Here is a 19336-nt window from a genome sequence, read left to right on the forward strand (position 1 = left end):
GTTATAAGGAATCTTTTGAAGTTAGATTTTTTTGTTATCATAGAGCAAGGAACATATTTGACAAGCAATACCCTAACACTTGGGCTGTTATCTGAGAACCTCCCAGGTTGCACACCTATGCAAGTAGGGAACTGAATATGTAGCCTACTTGTTCTGAAGCTAAGCTAATCTGGATTTACATTTGCAACCTACTGGGTTTCATTTATTCAACATAACAGTATAAAATTATACAGATTAACTGATAAGATACTAATAATTTGATTGATAAAATGGGGTCCCATTTGCCATATTAAACAAAGGGGAGCTGAAAGAATAATTGAACTGAAGAGGCATTTGAAAGCTGTCAGAAGAGAAGCAAAGGCAACATAAGCTGAGAATACACAGGTCTGCTTCCATTTGGTGGGCCATAGACAAGCCTTCTTTGAGGAGGTGATCTTGGAGCTGAAGAAACTGTTGCTTAAAACACAAAGGAAAGATGGCAAAGGTTGAGAGATGGTGGTAGCAATAGAACATGGTATGGGAAAATGGGGGGCTATGCAGTGACATCACATGGTTTAGTTTATCTGAGGAGGTATCCAGTGCATCCTTTGGAGGCCAAGTCAAAACATGTGAACTTCTTCTGTAGACAGCAGGAAGCCCTGGAGTATTTTCAGCAGAGAAATAATATGTTCAGAGAAACATTTTAGGAAGATAAATCTAACCATGGTGTGAGGGATGTTAGAAATAGCCAATCTGGAGACAAGGCAATCAGTCATGAGGCTCACGCTTTGGGAAGGAGGAGAAGTGAGGAGTCTCTGTGGTCCTTGAGGCTGAAAATTCCAGTCTGGTTAGACAGGACTCCTGATTCCTCAACACCCAAGGGGAGAAACTGGCATGTCTATGTTCTACTTGTTCTCTGATTCCCCTTATGTTAATATTATCCTCTCTTCTTGGCTGGGAGGAGGTACCAGTAAAATTAGGAGTGTCAGAATGAGCTGCTTTTTTGGCCCACGCAAGCCACTTACATTTTCAAATCATTCCTATCACTCTCAGCTGACAGGCATAGGACTTTGTTCTGATGCCTTCATTCAGAATGGAGCCTTGGAACGAGGCAGAAAGACCCCCCCTGCTCAGGTTTACCCACATCACCCTCACTCAGACTCTGTTTCTTTGCTACAGCATGGGGGGTAATAGGAACACCTGCCCATGCGGCTGGGCACACTTAGCACACTGGCTGGCACATGATAAACTCTCACTCAATGCTTCTTGCTATTACAGGTCTGCAATCCCTTACCTACAATTCTGGAAGCCCAAACGCTCTGAAGGCTTACATTTTATGACTTATTTGACTGCAACAACTGGCCTGATCTGAACTCATTAGGCAGCAAAAGTTGACCTGGACCGACACTGGGCTGTTGATAGTCTTTATTTATCCGACTTGGTGTGCATATTCATACATTTTTCTGCAGAAATATTAATGGGCTTGATTGCAGGGCACTGCCCCAGGCTCCACTGGGGGTGTTAAATAATACTGAGTGCATGCAACATATTACTGTTCTAAATCTGAAACATACTGAATGCCAAAGGGCACAAAGGTTTCAAATATGGGGTCATGGATTCATATTGCAAAGCTTGTATCTTTTTAAGGAGTGGTTGGCAGCCTTCACATCTAGATGCAAAAAGGAAGAAACTGTTGACACGGAATAGAGTATTACTTTTTTTTTTTTTGGTCTTTTCTTTTTATTTGTCAGATGCTGAAATAAGAAGTGAGCTTCTGAAATGCCTGTGGGTGGTGCTGGAAGCCCAGGGTGTGAAGCCCACCTCCCACCCAAGGAATTTCAGTTTCAAAAGTCTGACTCCGCTTTTGTCTCGGCATCCTGTTGAGAGAACGTGAATGGAGAGGAGAATTTGGCTATTCTTTGTCTTAAAGATGGGACACTGAGGTTTTGGGAGTTTCAGGACCTAGTGATAGGTCCTACAGGCTGAACAAAATGGTGCCAGGACAGTCTTAACAACTTTTGAGTTTTGCATCAAACAGTCATAAGGCCAGAAATATCTTAAGCAAGGCTTTGGTTCTAAGACCTTCTTTCTTTAGATCCTGCATCAGGTGAACCATATAGTAAGTACTCAGTAAATCTGCATGGGATTGGAATGACTCTGTTTTCTTTCTCTCTCTCTTTTTTTTTTTTTTTTTTTTTTGAGACAGAGTGTTGCTCTGTCACCCAGGCTGGAGTGCAGTGGCGCGATCTTGGGGCACTGCAACCTCCACCTCCCATGTTCAAGTGATTCTCCTGCCTCAGCCTCCCAAGTAGCTGGGACTATAGGAATTTGCCACCATGCCTGGCTATTTTTTTTTTTTTTTTTTTGAGACAGAGTTTCGCACTTTAACCCAGGATGGAGTGCAGTGGTGCGATCTCGGCTCACTGCATTCTCCACCTTCCAGCGATTCTCCCGCCTCAGCCTCTTGAGTAGCTGGGATTACAGGTGCCTGCCACTACACCCAGCTAATTTTTGTATTTTTAGTAGAGATGGGGTTTCACCGTATTGTCCAGGCTAGTCTTGAACTCCTGACCTCAGGTGATCCACCTGCCTCGGCAACCCAAATTGCAGGGATTACAGGCATGAGCCACCGCAACTGAGTGATTGTTTCTTTCTCATATCTTCTCCTTTGTCCATTCAGCAGCATAGGGAGGGACACTGAGTATCAAAGAGCAGCCTTTCACCTCCTAAATGCAGTTGGCAGAAGATTAATGGTGGGATTGGACTAACACAATCAGTGTTTAGGTAAAGTTTGTGTTTGAGCTACTACAATAATTTTAGGGAGTCTGCTGGATCTCTCTTCTTCTTTGTTCTGTCTGCTGAATAGTGGGCCAAGATGACACTCTGAGCTTTCCACCCTGAAAGACAAACACCAGAATCTTGGGACTAGAGTCTTTGGCTTGGAGATTGTGATGCCATGAAAAAAAAATTCCCCAAATGGAACATGTCTTCAAGGAAAAGACAAGCAATGTTTTCTGGGTGGTGTTGATACAAAGGATCCTGTGTGAAGAGTTTGGAGACCTGTTTCATTCCACCACCAAAGTACCAGCAAGGGTCCATGAACTGGGGGATTTTGAAAACTCTGTAGAAACTCAGAATCTTTTTTTTTTCTTTCTACGTGCATAAGCTATGTTGGAAAATAAGCACACTGCCATCATTCCAAGTGCACCTCAAGTCCTACCTCATCTGCAAAGCCTCGATTCCTTTTCACCTTCACTGTCTGGACTTTTTGCAATCATTCCCATTCCTCTTCTCCGTGGGGCTACTTCCAGAGCCTGCAGTGTCAGGGAGCTGTGCACCGGAAGCCTTGAAGGGCTAGTTGGTCTTCCCTGTGTTTCCTGGGACGTTGTTGTTTAAATAACTTGCCATCCACCCACAGTTCTGGATCTTCACATATTTAAACAGAACTACTGTCTCCCTATTATCTGCCACACCAATAGGGTAGGGGTGCCATGTTCTTCTAGGAGGATAGGCTCTAACCCTTGGAGTCATTGCCAGCTCTCCTCTCTTTTCTACCTTCTGGTTCTAAGTTGTTTTGGGCCAAAGAGCCCTTTGAGACTCAATGACACTTTGTCTCTTCCCACATGGAAACACACACGAGTAATACTATCTTTCTTACCATTTCCAGGGGTCACTAACCCTCAGAACTTCATCCCTGGGCCCCCCACCCTCCATCAGTGCAGGGTTTCTCAGAGTAGCCCGTGAACCACTGCAGTGGTTTGCTTTAACCCAGATTCCCAGACCTCATCCCTAGACCTACTGAGACAGAATGGACAGAGCAAGGAGGACAGATGAGCTGCCCAGACCACGTGGTTAGTATGTGGTGACCCTGGGATTCAAACCCGGGGACTGGCTTCCAAGGTAATGTTTTCATTACCTCGATCACAAGGGGGTTTGATAAACTAAGCAATCAGAACTTGCTGGTTTTCCAAGGAAGAATTGACAGGATGATTGAGAGAGAGAGAGAGAGAGAGAAAGAGTGTGTGTGTGTGTGTGTGTGTGTGTGTCAGGAAGGTTGCAAAGTAGTATAGTCAGAGTTAGAGTGGCCTAAGATTTAGGGAGGAAAGCAATATACACTCAGACTCTGTCCCCAAATGTCTGAACTCTACAGTGATCAAGACACTGCTGAGATGTTCCCATTACTAGGTGCATTTTCCAACACATGATTTGTTCCAGCATCCCCTCCAGCTTCCTAAGGACACCCAGGAAAAGCCAATCTTATCTGAAAGACCATACCCTTTGAACCCAAAGTCACTGGAACTCTTGACAATGCTAAGGATTCAAGATCTGCTGCCCCTGAGGGAACAGCCCAGACATAGACAGAGGAGGCAGAGCACCAGCGTCCTCACCCCGTGGGACTTTCCAGGCAGGCTGACCGGAGCAGGTTTCTGTGAGAAACTGATAACTGGGCTGGCTGCCCCTGGCCTGCCTGCCTGCTCGAGACAGGGAGTGACAAAGTGCTGCATCACCTTTTTCTCCCGCGGTTCGGGTTCACACTGCTGGGCTGGGCTCCAGAGGAACTGGTGGTTAGTTTTGTGGTCACCCAGCAGTTTTATGAAGGCCCTTAAGGTGCTTCAAGTACCAGGTGGCCCCAGCGTGGTTTAACTGTCTGGGGGCCCGAGCTCTCTCAGTGGCCACCTAAGTAAAGTAGACAAGCTTCATGTGAGAATTGTTCAGTTGGCCATGGCGATTACATAATGCACTAGAGGTGCAAGGACCACGCTTGCTATTCAGTAAGATATTACAAGTTCATACATTGTAAATTAATAAATATGCCAGCCCTCTTGTGGCATGTGACAGTGAATCTAAAGCAATTGGAAACATCCATCGCCTCATCTGAGAGTTACAGCAACCCCATTGGATGCCTTGTGGGTTCCATGCTGCAGATGTGCAAAGTGAGGATGGTCAAGGCTGAGGGTCTGTCCAACTGACCAGACAACAACTGAGAGCCTTCCACAGGTGATGTCAGATTATTATTCCACAGCCCCACACAATCTGGAGTCTCCCCACTTTGCAGACAATGAAACTTCCCTGTTTGTAGTCTAATTCTTTCCCAGCTAGCCCCTCTCTCTCACTGGAACATCTCTCTGAAAGCTGTGGCTTACAGCTCTCAAGCAGGTAGGATCAAGATGGCTATATTTGCTCTTGGTTTTCTTCCCAGATGCTCTGTCAGACAGCACTTCTTAGCACAAATACAGAATACAAAATAACTCAGACCGCCTTTCAAGAGCCCTCAGGAAGCTTTGGGGTGACATTTTAACTGCCTCTTCACTTGGTCTCAGGCCTTGTTTTTTATTTATTTAAACATCCATCATAATCTGAGTACCAAGAATATGACCAGGCATGGACCAGCAGCTGAAAACGCAGAAGATTAAAGACACGGCAAACACTCATACACATACATGCACAGATTTGTTCACACAAACACACATATATGCACATGCACACACACACACACACACACACATATGCACACGCAAACATGTCCCACCTGTGGAAACAATAGTCAACTGGGGAAGCTACCCAGCCTGCTCACTGACCACTTATTACATATGCACCCAATGCTGTGTAAGGCACTTCACTTTTTTGCAAATGTGGCTTCATTTTTTTCTCACAATTCTTTTTATCACTATATATTGTGAAATTACCATCTTGGTGTGCGTGGATGTGTTTATAGTTTTGTTCTCACCAGGTATGCATAACCTGTTGATGGAAGAGCCCTGTCTTATTAACCCTTGCATTCGTGTTCATTGATTCACCCTCAAAATGTTTATTGAATGTCTAATATAGGTCAAGCACAGGCTAAATACAGACTTGGGGATGTGATTTTTGCAAGAATAAATAAATGAATGAACACAAGATGAAGAGACTAGGGAGAGAGCAGGAGTGGAGGCGTTGGGATGAAAGTCCTTGTCATCTTCCTGAGAGGAGTTGAAGAGCTTGCACTCAGCAGAGACAAAGGGATGGAGCCTTTGAGGTGGTTTACTGTGCTGAGATCCAGCTCTCCATGAGGAACCATGGACCAGGGGCAGGCCCATCCACCCCTTTCACTATCACTATTCACATCTGTAAAGTGATAGCTGTGAGTCTCTACCCCATAAGGGTCATTGGAACATTGGAGAAGCTCTGACATGTAAAACAATTAGCCAAGTGCCTGGACATCCCCAGTAAAGTCTAGTGATTATTAAGAGTATAAATAGATGCACAAGCAGACTAAACAAGCATTTGGAAATATGTGCATTTGCATAAACATATTGGTAATTAAACAAAACAACAACAAAAAAAAAAACCAGAAGAGAGAGAATTACATAACCAAATCTCACCCTTTATGATTTTAACTCTCTTCCATCATCTGGAGAGAAGTCTTTGCAAGTTCTGCAATAGAATCTTAACCTATCATTAGAAAACTTCCTTGAAGGTTGAGGGACTCTGGCCCAGCCTCTGGAATCATTTGGATACCCCTGTGTCCGGACCCTGGCCTTTCCCACCCCTACCCTCACCACCCCCATGGAGCAGACTCTCCTTTTCCTTCAGGGCTGATAGTAAAAGACATATAGTTCCAGGTCCCCTGAGCTGGAGGGTAATCCAGCTCACCAATTACTTGAAATTAAAGTCAGGTAATTTGAACCCATCTGTTGGACACCTGACCACAAACCACCTCTTAGCTAACCCTGAGCTGGATCCGATTACTCCCCAAGTGCCTGCCCGGCTTCATTATGCCACGGCCATGGGAAGGGAGGAAACCAAGAGGTTACTGGGGTCTTCAGTTAGCGCTTTGTCATTAGCGTGGTTATTACCCGAGTCCTCCCTCCCAGCAGACTTCAAGATATGGGAGATGGGAGGGCTAGCTGGTAACCGGACCAGAGGCTCCCAGGTCTCACCAGATGGAGTGGAGCCTTCATCAGAAGGGCCAGCAAAGGGCAGGCAGCTCCCCAGACAGGAGTGGGTGGATTCCAGGAGGCCAGACTAGGACTCCGTGGCTCCATCTCAGATGTGCTACAGATGGTTCTTAGGGGCAATTATGGGGAACAGGGCAAAGCCTGGACACTGGCATCTGTAAGTCTGGGTTTGATAAATAGATCTGCCCCTTAATAGATACTGGGAAGTTTCTTGAACAACAAAGCCTCAAGTTCTTTGCCAATACAATGAAAATTGTGGAAATTAACTTAGACTGCCTTTCTAGAACCAGAGCAGACTCAGAAGTCTCCATTAAAGGGGAGTGTACCTGGACAGTGTCACGAAAGCCAAAACAGAGGGAATTCAGTCACCGGGTATTGAGGGGCTCAGGGGCAAGTACCCTGTCTCTATTCTAGGAATTGGAAATCAAAGCTCACAGAGGTTGAGCTCTGATCAAAGAAGGATGAGTAGATGGAAAATCCACTGTATAGATGCAGATGTAGCCATACCATGGGCAAGCGAATGGGGAGAAAATAGATATCAGATTCTGGAAATGTAGATAGGGATAACATTGCCTTTCTTCCACAGTGTCAGATGGATTCTCAACCCTGTGACCCCATTCTTGGTAGCAGAGTTTTCTTAGAGAAGTCTTTAATACCACAAGAATATGATTACCCATTTCTCCCAAATATGATTACATTTTCAGCTCCATTCTGCATTTTTTCCCTCTGGAAAATTGAGCATCTTATGCCCAAGAAAAAATGATAAAACTCCATTTGACTTCACTAGGGCAGAACTAAGACGGTTTTTGAACTGAAATTAAGTTGATACATTGAGAGCTTCTGTCATCGTAATACAACATCAGGAGAACAGGCAGGGAGGAGTTTATCCTAGTAGCGTCCCTCCAAAGTTCTAGTCAAGTGGAGAGGGCTTTTTGATGTATCAAAGACAGTGCTATCTTTCAAACTGCATTCATATTCTAACGTCCTATCATCATTGTAAAATAATGACAGAGCTAACATCCAACTTTTTACATGTATTTATTTATGGTTTTCAGCAGTCAAAGCAAGGAGGCACAGCCAGCTGCCTTTCACATCTGGCTCTAAATGAGCCACGGCACTGGCTCTGTCCACATTTGCTGTATCCATGGTACTGAGGTCCTGGCCTCTCCTCAGTTGGCAGCTGCACTGGCACTTCTCCTCATGGTGGCTGTCCCTCAATATTGGCAAAATACATTCAATCAAATCTGCAGGTGATTAAACTTCAGATGTCTCTGAGCTCAGCAAAGTGAGTGTCTTGATGTCAAAGACGGACAGTGCTTTAAAGCATTCCACTTCAATTTCTTCCTCACTCTCTCCCACTTCCGACATTGCTGATCAGTGGTCACCCAGCCCCTCTTTCCATTGCCCAGTTGATGGGGCGCTCACCACATCACAAGTAGCCTATCAGATCTGCTACCCTTATAAATTAAGACCTGGAGGAGTCAACACCTGCTAGTCTTCCTAACCTCAATCCATGTCACCTCCGAAAGTGCACTGATCTCCAGCCACACTGATCATATTGTCCTGAGCAATGCTAAGCTGCGTCCTGCCTCAATGATAATGAATTTGCTGCTCCCTGCCTGAGAGAGGGGCCCTTTTCATCGCTGCCCACCCCTGCCCTTTGGTGTCAGTTCAGGTGGAATCTTTTCAGGGACACCTTCCCTGACCACCTCATCTACAGTGGCTCTTACTGCCCTGGACCTCTATCCACTCCCGATCCTCTGAGCCCATCTTCATCCCCTTCATAGTACTGCCAATGTGGGAAATGATCTGGCCTATGTATGCATTAGCCTGTGTGTGACTACGTACTGTTTATGCATGTGTTTGCTTGTGCACTACCATATTCTGTTTAAGTACATGTTCACCTGTGTACAATCATATACCGTTTGTCCGTATGTACCTGCTATCTTAGTCTGTTTTGTGCTGCTATAATAGAGCACCACAGACTGGGTGATTTATAAAGAACATAAATCTATTTCTCACAGTTTTGGAGGCTGGGAGATCCAACATCAAGATTCCTATAGGTTTGGTGTCTGTTAAGGGCCTGGTCTCCACTTCCAAGGTGGTGCCTCGTTGGTGCATTTTCAGGGAAAGGAACTCTGTGTCCTCACATGATCCAAGAGCAGAAGAGAAGGGCAAACTCATTCCTGCAATCCTTTTGTATAGAAGCATTAATTTATTAATGAGGGCAGAGACCTCATGACCTAAACACTTTCCATTAGGCTACACCTCCCAACGTGATTACAATGGGGATTAAGTTTCAACATGAGTTTTGGAGGGGACAGAAACCTCCAAACCACAGCACCTGTGTCCTATTATATACTGGATATGCATGTGCTTACCTATATATGATTCTGTACTATCTATGCTTGTGTTTATCTCTGTACTATTATGGGCTGTTTATGCATGCATTTACCTGGGTACTATCATGTATCTCCTCCTCTGAAGTGCACGATTAGGAGAGAAGAAGTTCCTCTGTCTTGGTCACTTTTGCTTCTCAGGTAGAGTAGCTCCTCTGGAAACCCCTGCCTAATGAAGGAAACCTGGCAGGGCACACCTGCTGTCCAAAGTCCCTTACTGAGAGCAAACGTCAGTCTCACCACAATGCCCGTCACTACCACTGCCACTGCAGGCTGTAACTCTGCAGTTGAATCTGGTTTCTTTTGTCCATGAGCGCGTGCTTTATGATGCCAAATGGGGGATCTGTGGCCTTCTCAACTTTGAAGACAGAAATCAGGTCTCCCCGGTGTTTCCAATCCCTACAACAGCTTAAATGTCTTCATTTTCTTCACAGGAAAAGTATCTTTTAGGATTCTGCTCAGATTTAATTTCCTCTACAAGGAAAATCCACTCCAATGTAGCTAGCTCATCATTCTAGTTTGTCGGCATCTTTTTTGGGGTCTGGGAGATTGCATTACAATATCTCCCATTGCCTCTCCCTTGGGCTATGCACACATCAGATGAGGTTGTCTTTGTCTTTTTTCAGGTCATTAATAGATAACTTTGAAAAGAGTCTAATGATTAATTCTTAGAGATTCCACAAGGCTGGCTTTATTAATAAAATTAGCCTTGGGTCTTGAGCTTTTCTGAGGTCCCTTAAAGAAAGATATTCCAAATATTCAGCCATTTGAAAAGGTATCATAGAAGCAGGAGGTACTCTTACACACATGTGGTTCAACTCCCTCATTCTCCAGATGAAGAAACCATGATCCAGAGAGAAGTTTATCACACGCAGAGGAGCAGCCAGGGAAGGACGTGTGGCTGGTGAGTGGGAGAGTCAAGCTTAGAAGCTAGAGGCCACACCTCATGGCCAGTAGGGGCTGGCCTTGCCTTCCTGCACCTACAGGGGCCAGAGTGGAAGGTGGGGAGACTTTCCCTCTGGCTGCAGTGCCTCAGAATCAGGGGTGAATTCTGATTCTGACTCATGCTGAGCTTTTGAGCTGGAGAAGCCTAAAAGATCAGAACACCAGCAGGAGACTGGGCTGGGTAGTGGGAACTCGGGTGTGGGGCCAAAGGTCAGAGAGCCTGAATGGGAGTGATGGAGGCATTTAGGAGTGAATAACAGCTTTGCCTGCGGCCAACACTGGATTAATAGCAACAGAGACTGGGGCAGAGACATTTAGGGGGTCTGAGTTGGAGAAGATAAAATGCTGAGTGTTAACTACAGAGGAGAGACCCCTGGGGCCCCTTGCAGAGAGGTCAGAAGCTTGAGCACATTAATTTCATAGAAATGCATTCAGGGGTTTGGGAGTGGAGAGAAGGGAGTGTGGGGATGACTGCCTTCCTTGGAAAGGTGTGTCAAAGGGTGTCTGAAGGTAGAGGTGTAGACAAGCCGATGGGTTAGAGACAGTGGCCACCCAGCTACAGGATCAGTGTGAACAAAGACACAGAAACTAGAATACGAGGGGAGGTAGGGCTGGGAACGCACCGGGGATGCTGCAATCTTTTTCCTTCACCTTGCCTGCCTTGGTCTCTCTGATGCACAAAGTTAACTCAAATTCTGCTCTTACCTGGAGTGATCACAGCTTGAAACTTCAGCCAAGAATTGAAAGAAAAATCCGGGAGAAGAAGAAATTCATTCTGAAAGGCATGGAGAAGAAGGTTGTTGAATTGTTTTCATCTTCAAAGAGGAACCTGCAGAAGGAAGGAATCCTCGGTCAAGCCCTCACCCCCATGCCCGCCTCCTTTCTCTAAGTACAACCTGAACAAATAGGGCATGTTCTCAAAGTCTATGGCCTTGGCTTTGAACCTAAGGGACCCTAACTGGGACTTCCCAAACAGGTGGGAAGTTTGTGAGGAACAATGCCACTAAAGGTTATAGGGGCATTTGGCAGGCCCAACTGGGCAGCTTGGCAGTTCTTTTAAGCCAACAGTGCCTCAGATTCTAAGTCTGTAAAATGGGTGTGATAATAATACCTCCCCCCTCAGATTGTTGTAAATTTGTCATATAGGGGTAGATTTGTTAAAGAATTCCATAAACTGGAAAGCAACCCATGAGTGTGAAGACCAGCTCCTTCCCCCAACTCTCTTTCCTCCCCAACCCCAACTCTGACGCCATTGTTGAAACATTTGCTCTGGGAAGGACAGGAGAGAATAAATATTTTTAAAAAACAACTTCTGTCTTCCAATATGCTAGCACTTGCTTGCATTTAATTCTTGCCATTGTCCTGAGAGGCAGATATTATTCTCTCTAGAGATAAGGAAACTAAGCTGTAGAATATTCTGAGCCTGGCCTGGTTTCTGCCCTTCAGTGCATACAGAGCCAAGAGCTGAAGTCACGTCTGCCCATCCACCTCCACGCCCTCCCCAGTCCACCCCACACTGGTGGGTGTGTGCTAGAGCATCTTCCTTGGTACTGATGCTCAGAGTCAGCCCCAGGCTTGGAAGGGAGCTCAGAGTAGCAAATAGGCCCTGACCCACAGCTAGAGCCAGGGCCTGCGCAGGCATCATTCATACAGTATGTCTTCAATTTCCATGGTGGAAATAGAGCTGCCCATGGGGAAGATGAAAAAACCAAGGAGAAGAGCACTTTCCCAGCTTGTTCAATGCTGCTTAACTACAACAGCAGAGCTAGACATTGGCCATTTCCTGCCCACTAGGTACTTTGAAATATCTGCAGGGATGGGAGTGACAGAAGACAGGACCTCTCAGCCAAGTGAGAACTGCTGCTCACATCGAAAGTGAAGAGACCACTCTGTCCTCAGGATGGTTTTTTGTAGCATGCATGGACGGGAGCAGTCCTCAATGAATCATCCTTGGAGGGGTTCCCAGGACCAGCAAAGTAACTTGGGGATACCTGGTCTTACCGGACAAGTGAGATATGAACCTACCGAATAGTATCATGTTTCAAGATTCAGCATCCCAATCCCTGTGAATATAGCACTCAAGATAAATCAGTGATATGTCAACACACGCAGTGCCCAAAGCTTAGCAGATCTCCATTAGGAAACGTGGGCTGAAACAGACTGAACCACCTCTGGCCCTCTGTTGCCACTGTCATCAGCAGTAATAATTAGTATCACTACTGATTATATTAGTAGCAATAGAATTAATATTGATATCTTAGTGCTAATGTTAGATTTTTATGGTATTTGACTTACTAAAAGACTCTTTGAATAGATCTTCAGTGTTGGCAAGTTGTTTGGATATATTTTATGTCATCCCACGCTTACAATAAGCAAACTTCCTTGACGGTTGTATGGACCCTAATTCTTAGTGTCCAAGCTCTATCAGTTCCTCCCAGTGTGTCCTTCTGTGAGTCAGTAATGCCACAGAAACTGAGTTTCTTCTTTTGTGAAATGCAAATGATGTTGCCTAGGACCCAGGATTCTCTGGAGGATAAAAGGAGGTGGGAGAGCACTCGGCACAGTGGTGGCCATGATTTTGTAGCCACAACCGTCATTCCACCATTGTCACTCTCATCTTGGGGCTATTTCTTCTGCTATGTACTAGGGTCAGGGCTCTGGGCTGTTCCCATTGGGCCAATGTCTTGCAATTGCTAAGTTTCCCAGCAGGCAATTCCCAGCCACCACTCCAGTGCTGTCCTCCAGGCACTTTCAGGCACCCTGAAGGCAAGACCAACCCCAGCACCCCTGGTTGGCCTGCTGAGGCTAGGGGTGGTGCCTGCAGTGAGGATCACCACTGCAGGCAGCTGAAGAAGGCCCCTGTCACATGGACACCCTGCCCACACCACCCATGATGGTAATGACTGACAACTATACACTGCCTTGTTTTAGACACAGGTTTCTTTGTCCATCCAAGGAACCCTGTGGTCCAATTTCTCTAAAATTCTCTTGCAGGAAATGAAGAACCTGAGGTCCTTGAGAGCTACCTTGTCTGACAGTCACTCAACTGTAAATGCAGCAGCCCAAGTCTCAGGTCTTCAGATTCTGTGCACTTGGGAGCAACCGAGCAACCTGCGGATGGGGTCATTCAGGTGCCTAGGAGCCTGTATGTAGCTGGTCTAGTTCAACCCTGTCCCTCCTCTCAAACCATGCTCAGGCTCTGAGGCTTGGCGTCCTCAGGCAAGCCGTGTGCATACAAGTCTCACACCACCGAGAAAGTCCAATCGTCAGCTTCACTGCTGGGAGCCTCAGACTCAGCTGCACTCCTGCTTGAACCTGGGGTCTCCCATTGTGCACGGCGTGCCACGCGGCTTGCAGCAGCCATCAACTGCCTGCCAGAGGGGGCAGCCAGTGTCAAGCAGTAGGGGTGAGAACTAGCAGGAACCTGGGCTTCCCTTGAGTAGGAAAGGACATTTGGGATTGATTTGAACAGGATGCATTATAAAGCCTGGGTTTGCATAGGAGAAAGGCTCATAAGAAGCAATGGAGTGCATAAAGCAAAGAAAGGAGAGAGGGAGGGGCAGAGGGGAGAAAGGGAAAGAGAGAGAGGGACGGAGGGAGGGAAGGGAAAGAAGGGAAGAGAGAGAAGAGGGGCAGAGGGGAGAAAGGGAAAGAGAGAGAGGGATGGAGGGAGGGAAGGGAAAGAAGGGAGAGAGGGGGAGGGGAGGAGAGAAGAGGAAAGATCCCTCATTTCTACTGTAACTTGCTGGCTTGAATTCATTTAGAGAATGGGAGGAAAGGGTCCATGATCAAAAGGAAGAAGAGAGTGGATTGGGTCCAGCAGCATGTAGACAGTCTCCCAAATCTACTTCCTCCTTTGCTCACGTTTGCCTGTGTGTATGCACTTATGCATCTGTGTGTGTGTGAGAGTGTGTCCCTGTGTATCTGCACATGTGTGTGAAGAGACTTATTGGTCATCCTGGACCCATGTCCATGGGTCCCTTAGCCCTGCAGGTCTGCTTTCAGCAGCAGCTGGAAGGTGAATTCAGTGTCACCACCCAGTGACTAGACAGACAGCCTTGTCCTCTTTGTGGACTTGAAGAAACAAAATTACCCCCAAAGTTTCACTTCTCTTGCTTGCTTTGCCATCAAGGTGGACTTTGGTGCTCCCCTTTCAGCTTTCAGAAAATGTGTGAGGCTCATGTGCTTTGGGGCTGCCCCTGGGTAAGAGGACATCAAGGCCATTCCAAATCAGATCTCCTGAAAGCTGGAAACTCCCTTCCCAGCTACAATTTCCTTTGGTGTATATGAAGAAGCAGGGGCTGGTGCACCCATCTGAGCCCTGTCCCATGTCACAAAGCATTTCTCAAATGCTCTGAGTTCAATAAAGCCCCAAAGTGCATTGTGCCAAGTCCTCTGTCCGATCCCTTGATTTTAAAAGTCATGCATATTTTGATTGAAATTTAATCCACATGTTCCTGATTTATTTACAATCAAATCATCGAAATATTATTTTAAGGGCTGTTTGATGTCTAGGAAACCTTTTGAGGTCTTTTTAATATGATTTTAGAAGCCTCTTTCCTTAGAAGCCGGAAACTTTGCTTTGCTACTTGTAAATAAACCCAGTGGAGATGAGTGACTTAAGTCTAGAAATGTCATGGCATTTGACAGGGGTTTGAAAACAGTAGAAGTCCTTTTTGCACCCAATAAGAGCTGCATTCAGATTTGCAGAACTTGCCTTCGCAATGTTCCCAGTAGCCCTTCGTCGAGGCATTCAAAGGCTACCATTTGTCCTAAATGTTTCATCACAATCCCCTTGTTTTCCAATGGGAAGGTCAGGCACTGACCTTTAGTGGGTACCCTGGGTACTGCGTTTGATGCCTCAAAGACAGGACCTCCTCTCATTTCTCCTGACAGCTTCCATGCCATGAATATCAGGATTTGCTTTCACCAATGGGGGGTGGGATATCCAAGAGGTTAAGTGACCTGTCTGCTGGTAGTCTTCTGAAAATATGGGATTGAGACTCAGGTTGGTCAGACACCCAGGGCACTCCACCCACATCACCAGGCCAACTCTCCACGTTCAGTAATAGAAAACAATACATAAGTATTGGAATGTTTCTTGCATTTGTTTTGAGCTTTGCACATGTGCAAATATCTTAAACAATCATTGTGGGCATTGCCAGGGAGAAATGTACAGGAAGATCACACAGCAGCGTCCTGCCAAGGTGGTGATGCTTATGTTAAAGCTGTGAGCTAAAATGATCAATTATTTCATTATTTTATTGGATTTTCCTGACACATTGTTAAGAAGGTGAGGCAAGAATTATTAATCTTACTTTAAATATAGAGAAACTGAACTAATAAATCAAGAGCAAAGAAGCCAAGGACTTCTCTTCATATTAGCAGAGGTCAGAAAGGAGCTAGTCCGTCAGCCTGAAGGGTTGCACCTTCGACATGGGCGTCTGGCAGCACATTGTGAAACTGTGCTCTCTAATTTGTTAGCTACTAGCCACATGTGGTTACTTACATTCAAAGTAATTCAAATAAATAAAGTTAAAAATCCCATTCCTCAGTCATACCCACTATACCTCAGGTTCACAATAGCCTCCTGGGGCAGGTGGCTGCCATCTTGGACAGCCCAGAAAGGGAATGTTTCCATCACTGCTGAAGGCCTTGCTGGACAGTGCACATCTGAAGACTCTGCACCCAGACCACCAACTTGGGGCATTTTAAATTAGTCACGTGGTCCGCCCCATCTCTCTTTTCCTTTCCATCCTTCAACAAGCTGCTATCCTCACTACCATCTGGGGTCCCTGTGACCTCCCTGTCTGTCCCCTTCTAATGCCTGGCCCAGGGGCAACCAGTGTTTAAACAGTTGCTGGAAGGCCTGGAAGGGCCTTGGCTCCTGGCAGCTCCAAGACTCTCAGTGGAGCAGTGCAGCTGCCTGCTCTGCCCTGCTGTGTTTCAACTAATCATCCACAGTGTGGAAGAAGGGGGCTCCAGGGGGAGGAGGAAGGAGACTTCTGGAAGGTGAGGCACAGCAGGGTGATGAAGAGCTGCCAGGGAGCCAGACATCTGTGCCCAGACAGAGTTTCACCGATACGATCTTTGTTACTATCCTTGTGAGAGATAAACAACTTGCAGGAGCAGCGTGCAGGGAGGAAGTGCCCTGCTGAGAAAGTGGTGTGCAGAGGCCAGACACTCAGCCCCTGCGGTCAGGCCCAGGGCGAGGAAGGCGGGGGAGGGGAGGAGGCAGCCCGGGCCCCCCGCACAGGTGACAGGAGTCACGGCGCCCACCACAGATGTCACCCAAGAGAGACGTGTGAGCCTTGGCACATGAGGTAGTAGAGGTTCTGTGAGAAAGAGGGGACAAAAAAACGGCAGAAGAAAAGTGGGGCTGAGCAGGTTGAGCTTTGTCCTGCATATCGAGGCTAAGGATTGGGATTTATAACCTGAATCTGCCACTTACCCGGCTACTCTGCAGTTGGGTAACTTCTCTAAGACTCAGTTTTACCATCCAAAAAAATGGGAGGTCTGTTTTCAAGATACATTGTCACAGTGTGCCAAGGTTTCTCCTTGAGCAGAATCAGTAAGTTGTTCTTCCATGAATCAGAGTTCAGATGGAGGATGGATGGATGGATGGATGAATGGATGGATGGATGGATGGATGGATGGATAGAAATTCTATTAAAGCATTTTGTTTTGTACAATGGATAGATGCATGCCTTTCTTTCCCAAAAGACTAGGAGCTATTCCAAGAAAAGGGATGGGTCTAATTCATTTGTAAATCTTCATGTGTAGCGCAATTCCAGATACACCTGCTCAGAAAAAAAAAAAAAATGAAAGGAAGAAAAAAAGGGAGGATAACAGAAAAGGAGGAAGAGGATGCAATGGGAACATATGTTAAACCTCAAATTCATTTATATATGAGGCACTGTCACTAAGATTTTTTCTGTGTGGATTAACTTTGGAGTATGGTGATACCTTCAGATCTGAGTTTGGGTTTAGAGTAAGATTGCAAATAAAAATATAGGATGCCCAGTTAAATTAGAATTTTAGAAGACCAACAAATATTTTTTTCTCAGTATGCATACACAATATTTAGGTCACATTTGTACTCAAAAATATCTTGCTCATTTGAAATTCAAATGTAACTGGATGACTTGTGTTTTATATGGTAACCATAGTTTTTGGAGGAAGAAAAAAAAAATAACAGGCCTTTGGACTTGTCATTAACCTACACGTGTTTGAGCACATTTCACCAACGAGCTCCTCAGTGAGATTTGGGGTAAAAGCCTAGTTAACAATAAGGGCACACTCTGCTTCCTGTTTTCTATGTTCCTTGTACAGATATCTTCCCCCAGGACAACACAATCACTTAGTCGAATACATATAATAGAAGCCTAAGTATAGCCAGTGATTTCTAACACTGGTGACTTGGAACTTTTGGAGGGATTTGGAAGTTTCAATGTGAATGGGAATGTCAGAGTGAAATGAAATATTCTAAGTGAATGAGAATGTTTAGCGTGAATTAGAATGGGCAGAATAAATTGAACACCAAACATTCAGCAAATGATCCAAGTCTCAGCCAACCCTGGTTTAATCTTCATTTGTGCTCCCACCTAAGGGCAAAAGTGACCCAACAGAATTATCTGAAACCCAGTAGAGGGTTCTGAAACCGTTAGTTTTTTATTTATTTCCAGCATGGCTTCACCAATTCATCCTTTGTCATGCATCAACACTTCGTAATACTATTTCTTCTTCTCTTAGGTCTTAATTACCATCCCCATTTCTCTATCACGTTCCCATGCTCATAAAACCAATTATTTCTGAGTTGGTCTTTTCTTTCTATTATTACCTACTGAACACCTCCCTTTCCGCACTAAGTCCTATTGTTGACAATAATTTGGTCAATCTAAATACACCATTTATTTCTGCCTTTTATTCTATGTTTCTTCTCCAAGTTCCCGAACATGAGGAGAAGTTTATTAGAGAATTCCTCCAACATAAGAAATAATTAAAGATGTGTTTTTCTTTTGAAGAATTAGGAACACTAAAAGGCATGCATTTTTAACATTACAACTTATTGGTGTGGATGTATTCTTATTCTCTACCTACTCCCTTATGTTATAACACTTTTTCTGGGAATATTTGATCCCATAAAGCCCTTTTTTCAAGCCATCTCTCCTTCCCATTCTGAAATGATCTCTCTGGAGAGTGGCAGTGATGATACAATAGGTTGGAGTTACTATTATTAAAAATTACTACTTTCCTTCACTATGTTTCTTTCGTTACCCAGTGGGATTTTGATTCCAGACATTCTCCTTGCTTGACATCCACTGGGGAAGTGATGAAACCATTCATTATTTAAAAGTTTGGAAGCCACAAGTATTACTGTATCTAACCAGATTGGATTGACTTTTTAGCTCTTTTGATTAATAATTCATAAACCTGAGGATATGTGAATTGGGTGAGCACTAACCTGCTAACAAAAGAAGAGTAGGAGATGAATGTTAACATGGCTCCTGTGTTACTTAACACTTCGGACCAACAAAACAAACCCATGTGTCATGGAACCTGTTTCATACTTTCAATCCCCAATCAATATTTCATGATTAATGGGCCCATATGTTCACGCAGGTCCCCTGCAGTACAAAATTTGCACTTGCCTCTCCCATGTGATGGTGTACAAAATGCCTTCTCCAAAAAGAAAGGATTTTGCTTCCTCTAATGAGAGCTTATGTTCAATTCACTTTCCAGATTGTCTGATTGTTTTGTTTTTAATTTTTCCTTCTTGGGTTTCATTGTAAGGTGGAAATCCTCATTGTACCCAGTAAGTGCTCGGACATCAGATCAACCAATTGAAAGTTTCTACAAATGATAGCACTTGTAAGAGAGGTTCATGTAATTTGCAAATGACACATGATATGTTTGAAACCTGGTTAATATTATGCACCATAAAAACTATTTCAATTGGCATCTGAGGACCTGGGGTTGTGCTCTGTCTGTCACTGACAAGGTGTGTGACCTAATCCAAGCAACTGCTTTATCTCTCTGGGCTTCATTTTATTTTGCATGGTGACTAAAGTCACC

The 19336-nt window shown here is 45.0% G+C and overlaps 1 long non-coding RNA gene across 1 annotated transcript; it reads right to left on the reverse strand.

Annotated features, from left to right (window-relative positions):
- Positions 1-7936: 7936 nt before the first annotated feature.
- Positions 7937-11099, reverse strand: LOC107987207 (uncharacterized). The gene is made up of 2 exons (XR_001750875.2): positions 10967-11099; positions 7937-9111 (listed from the first exon to the last, which is right to left on the reverse strand). It is a non-coding gene; the product is annotated as an uncharacterized LOC107987207 (long non-coding RNA).
- Positions 11100-19336: the final 8237 nt, after the last annotated feature.

This window comes from Homo sapiens, chromosome 14, assembly GCF_000001405.40.
Source record: "Homo sapiens chromosome 14, GRCh38.p14 Primary Assembly".
Lineage (NCBI taxonomy): Eukaryota > Metazoa > Chordata > Mammalia > Primates > Hominidae > Homo > Homo sapiens.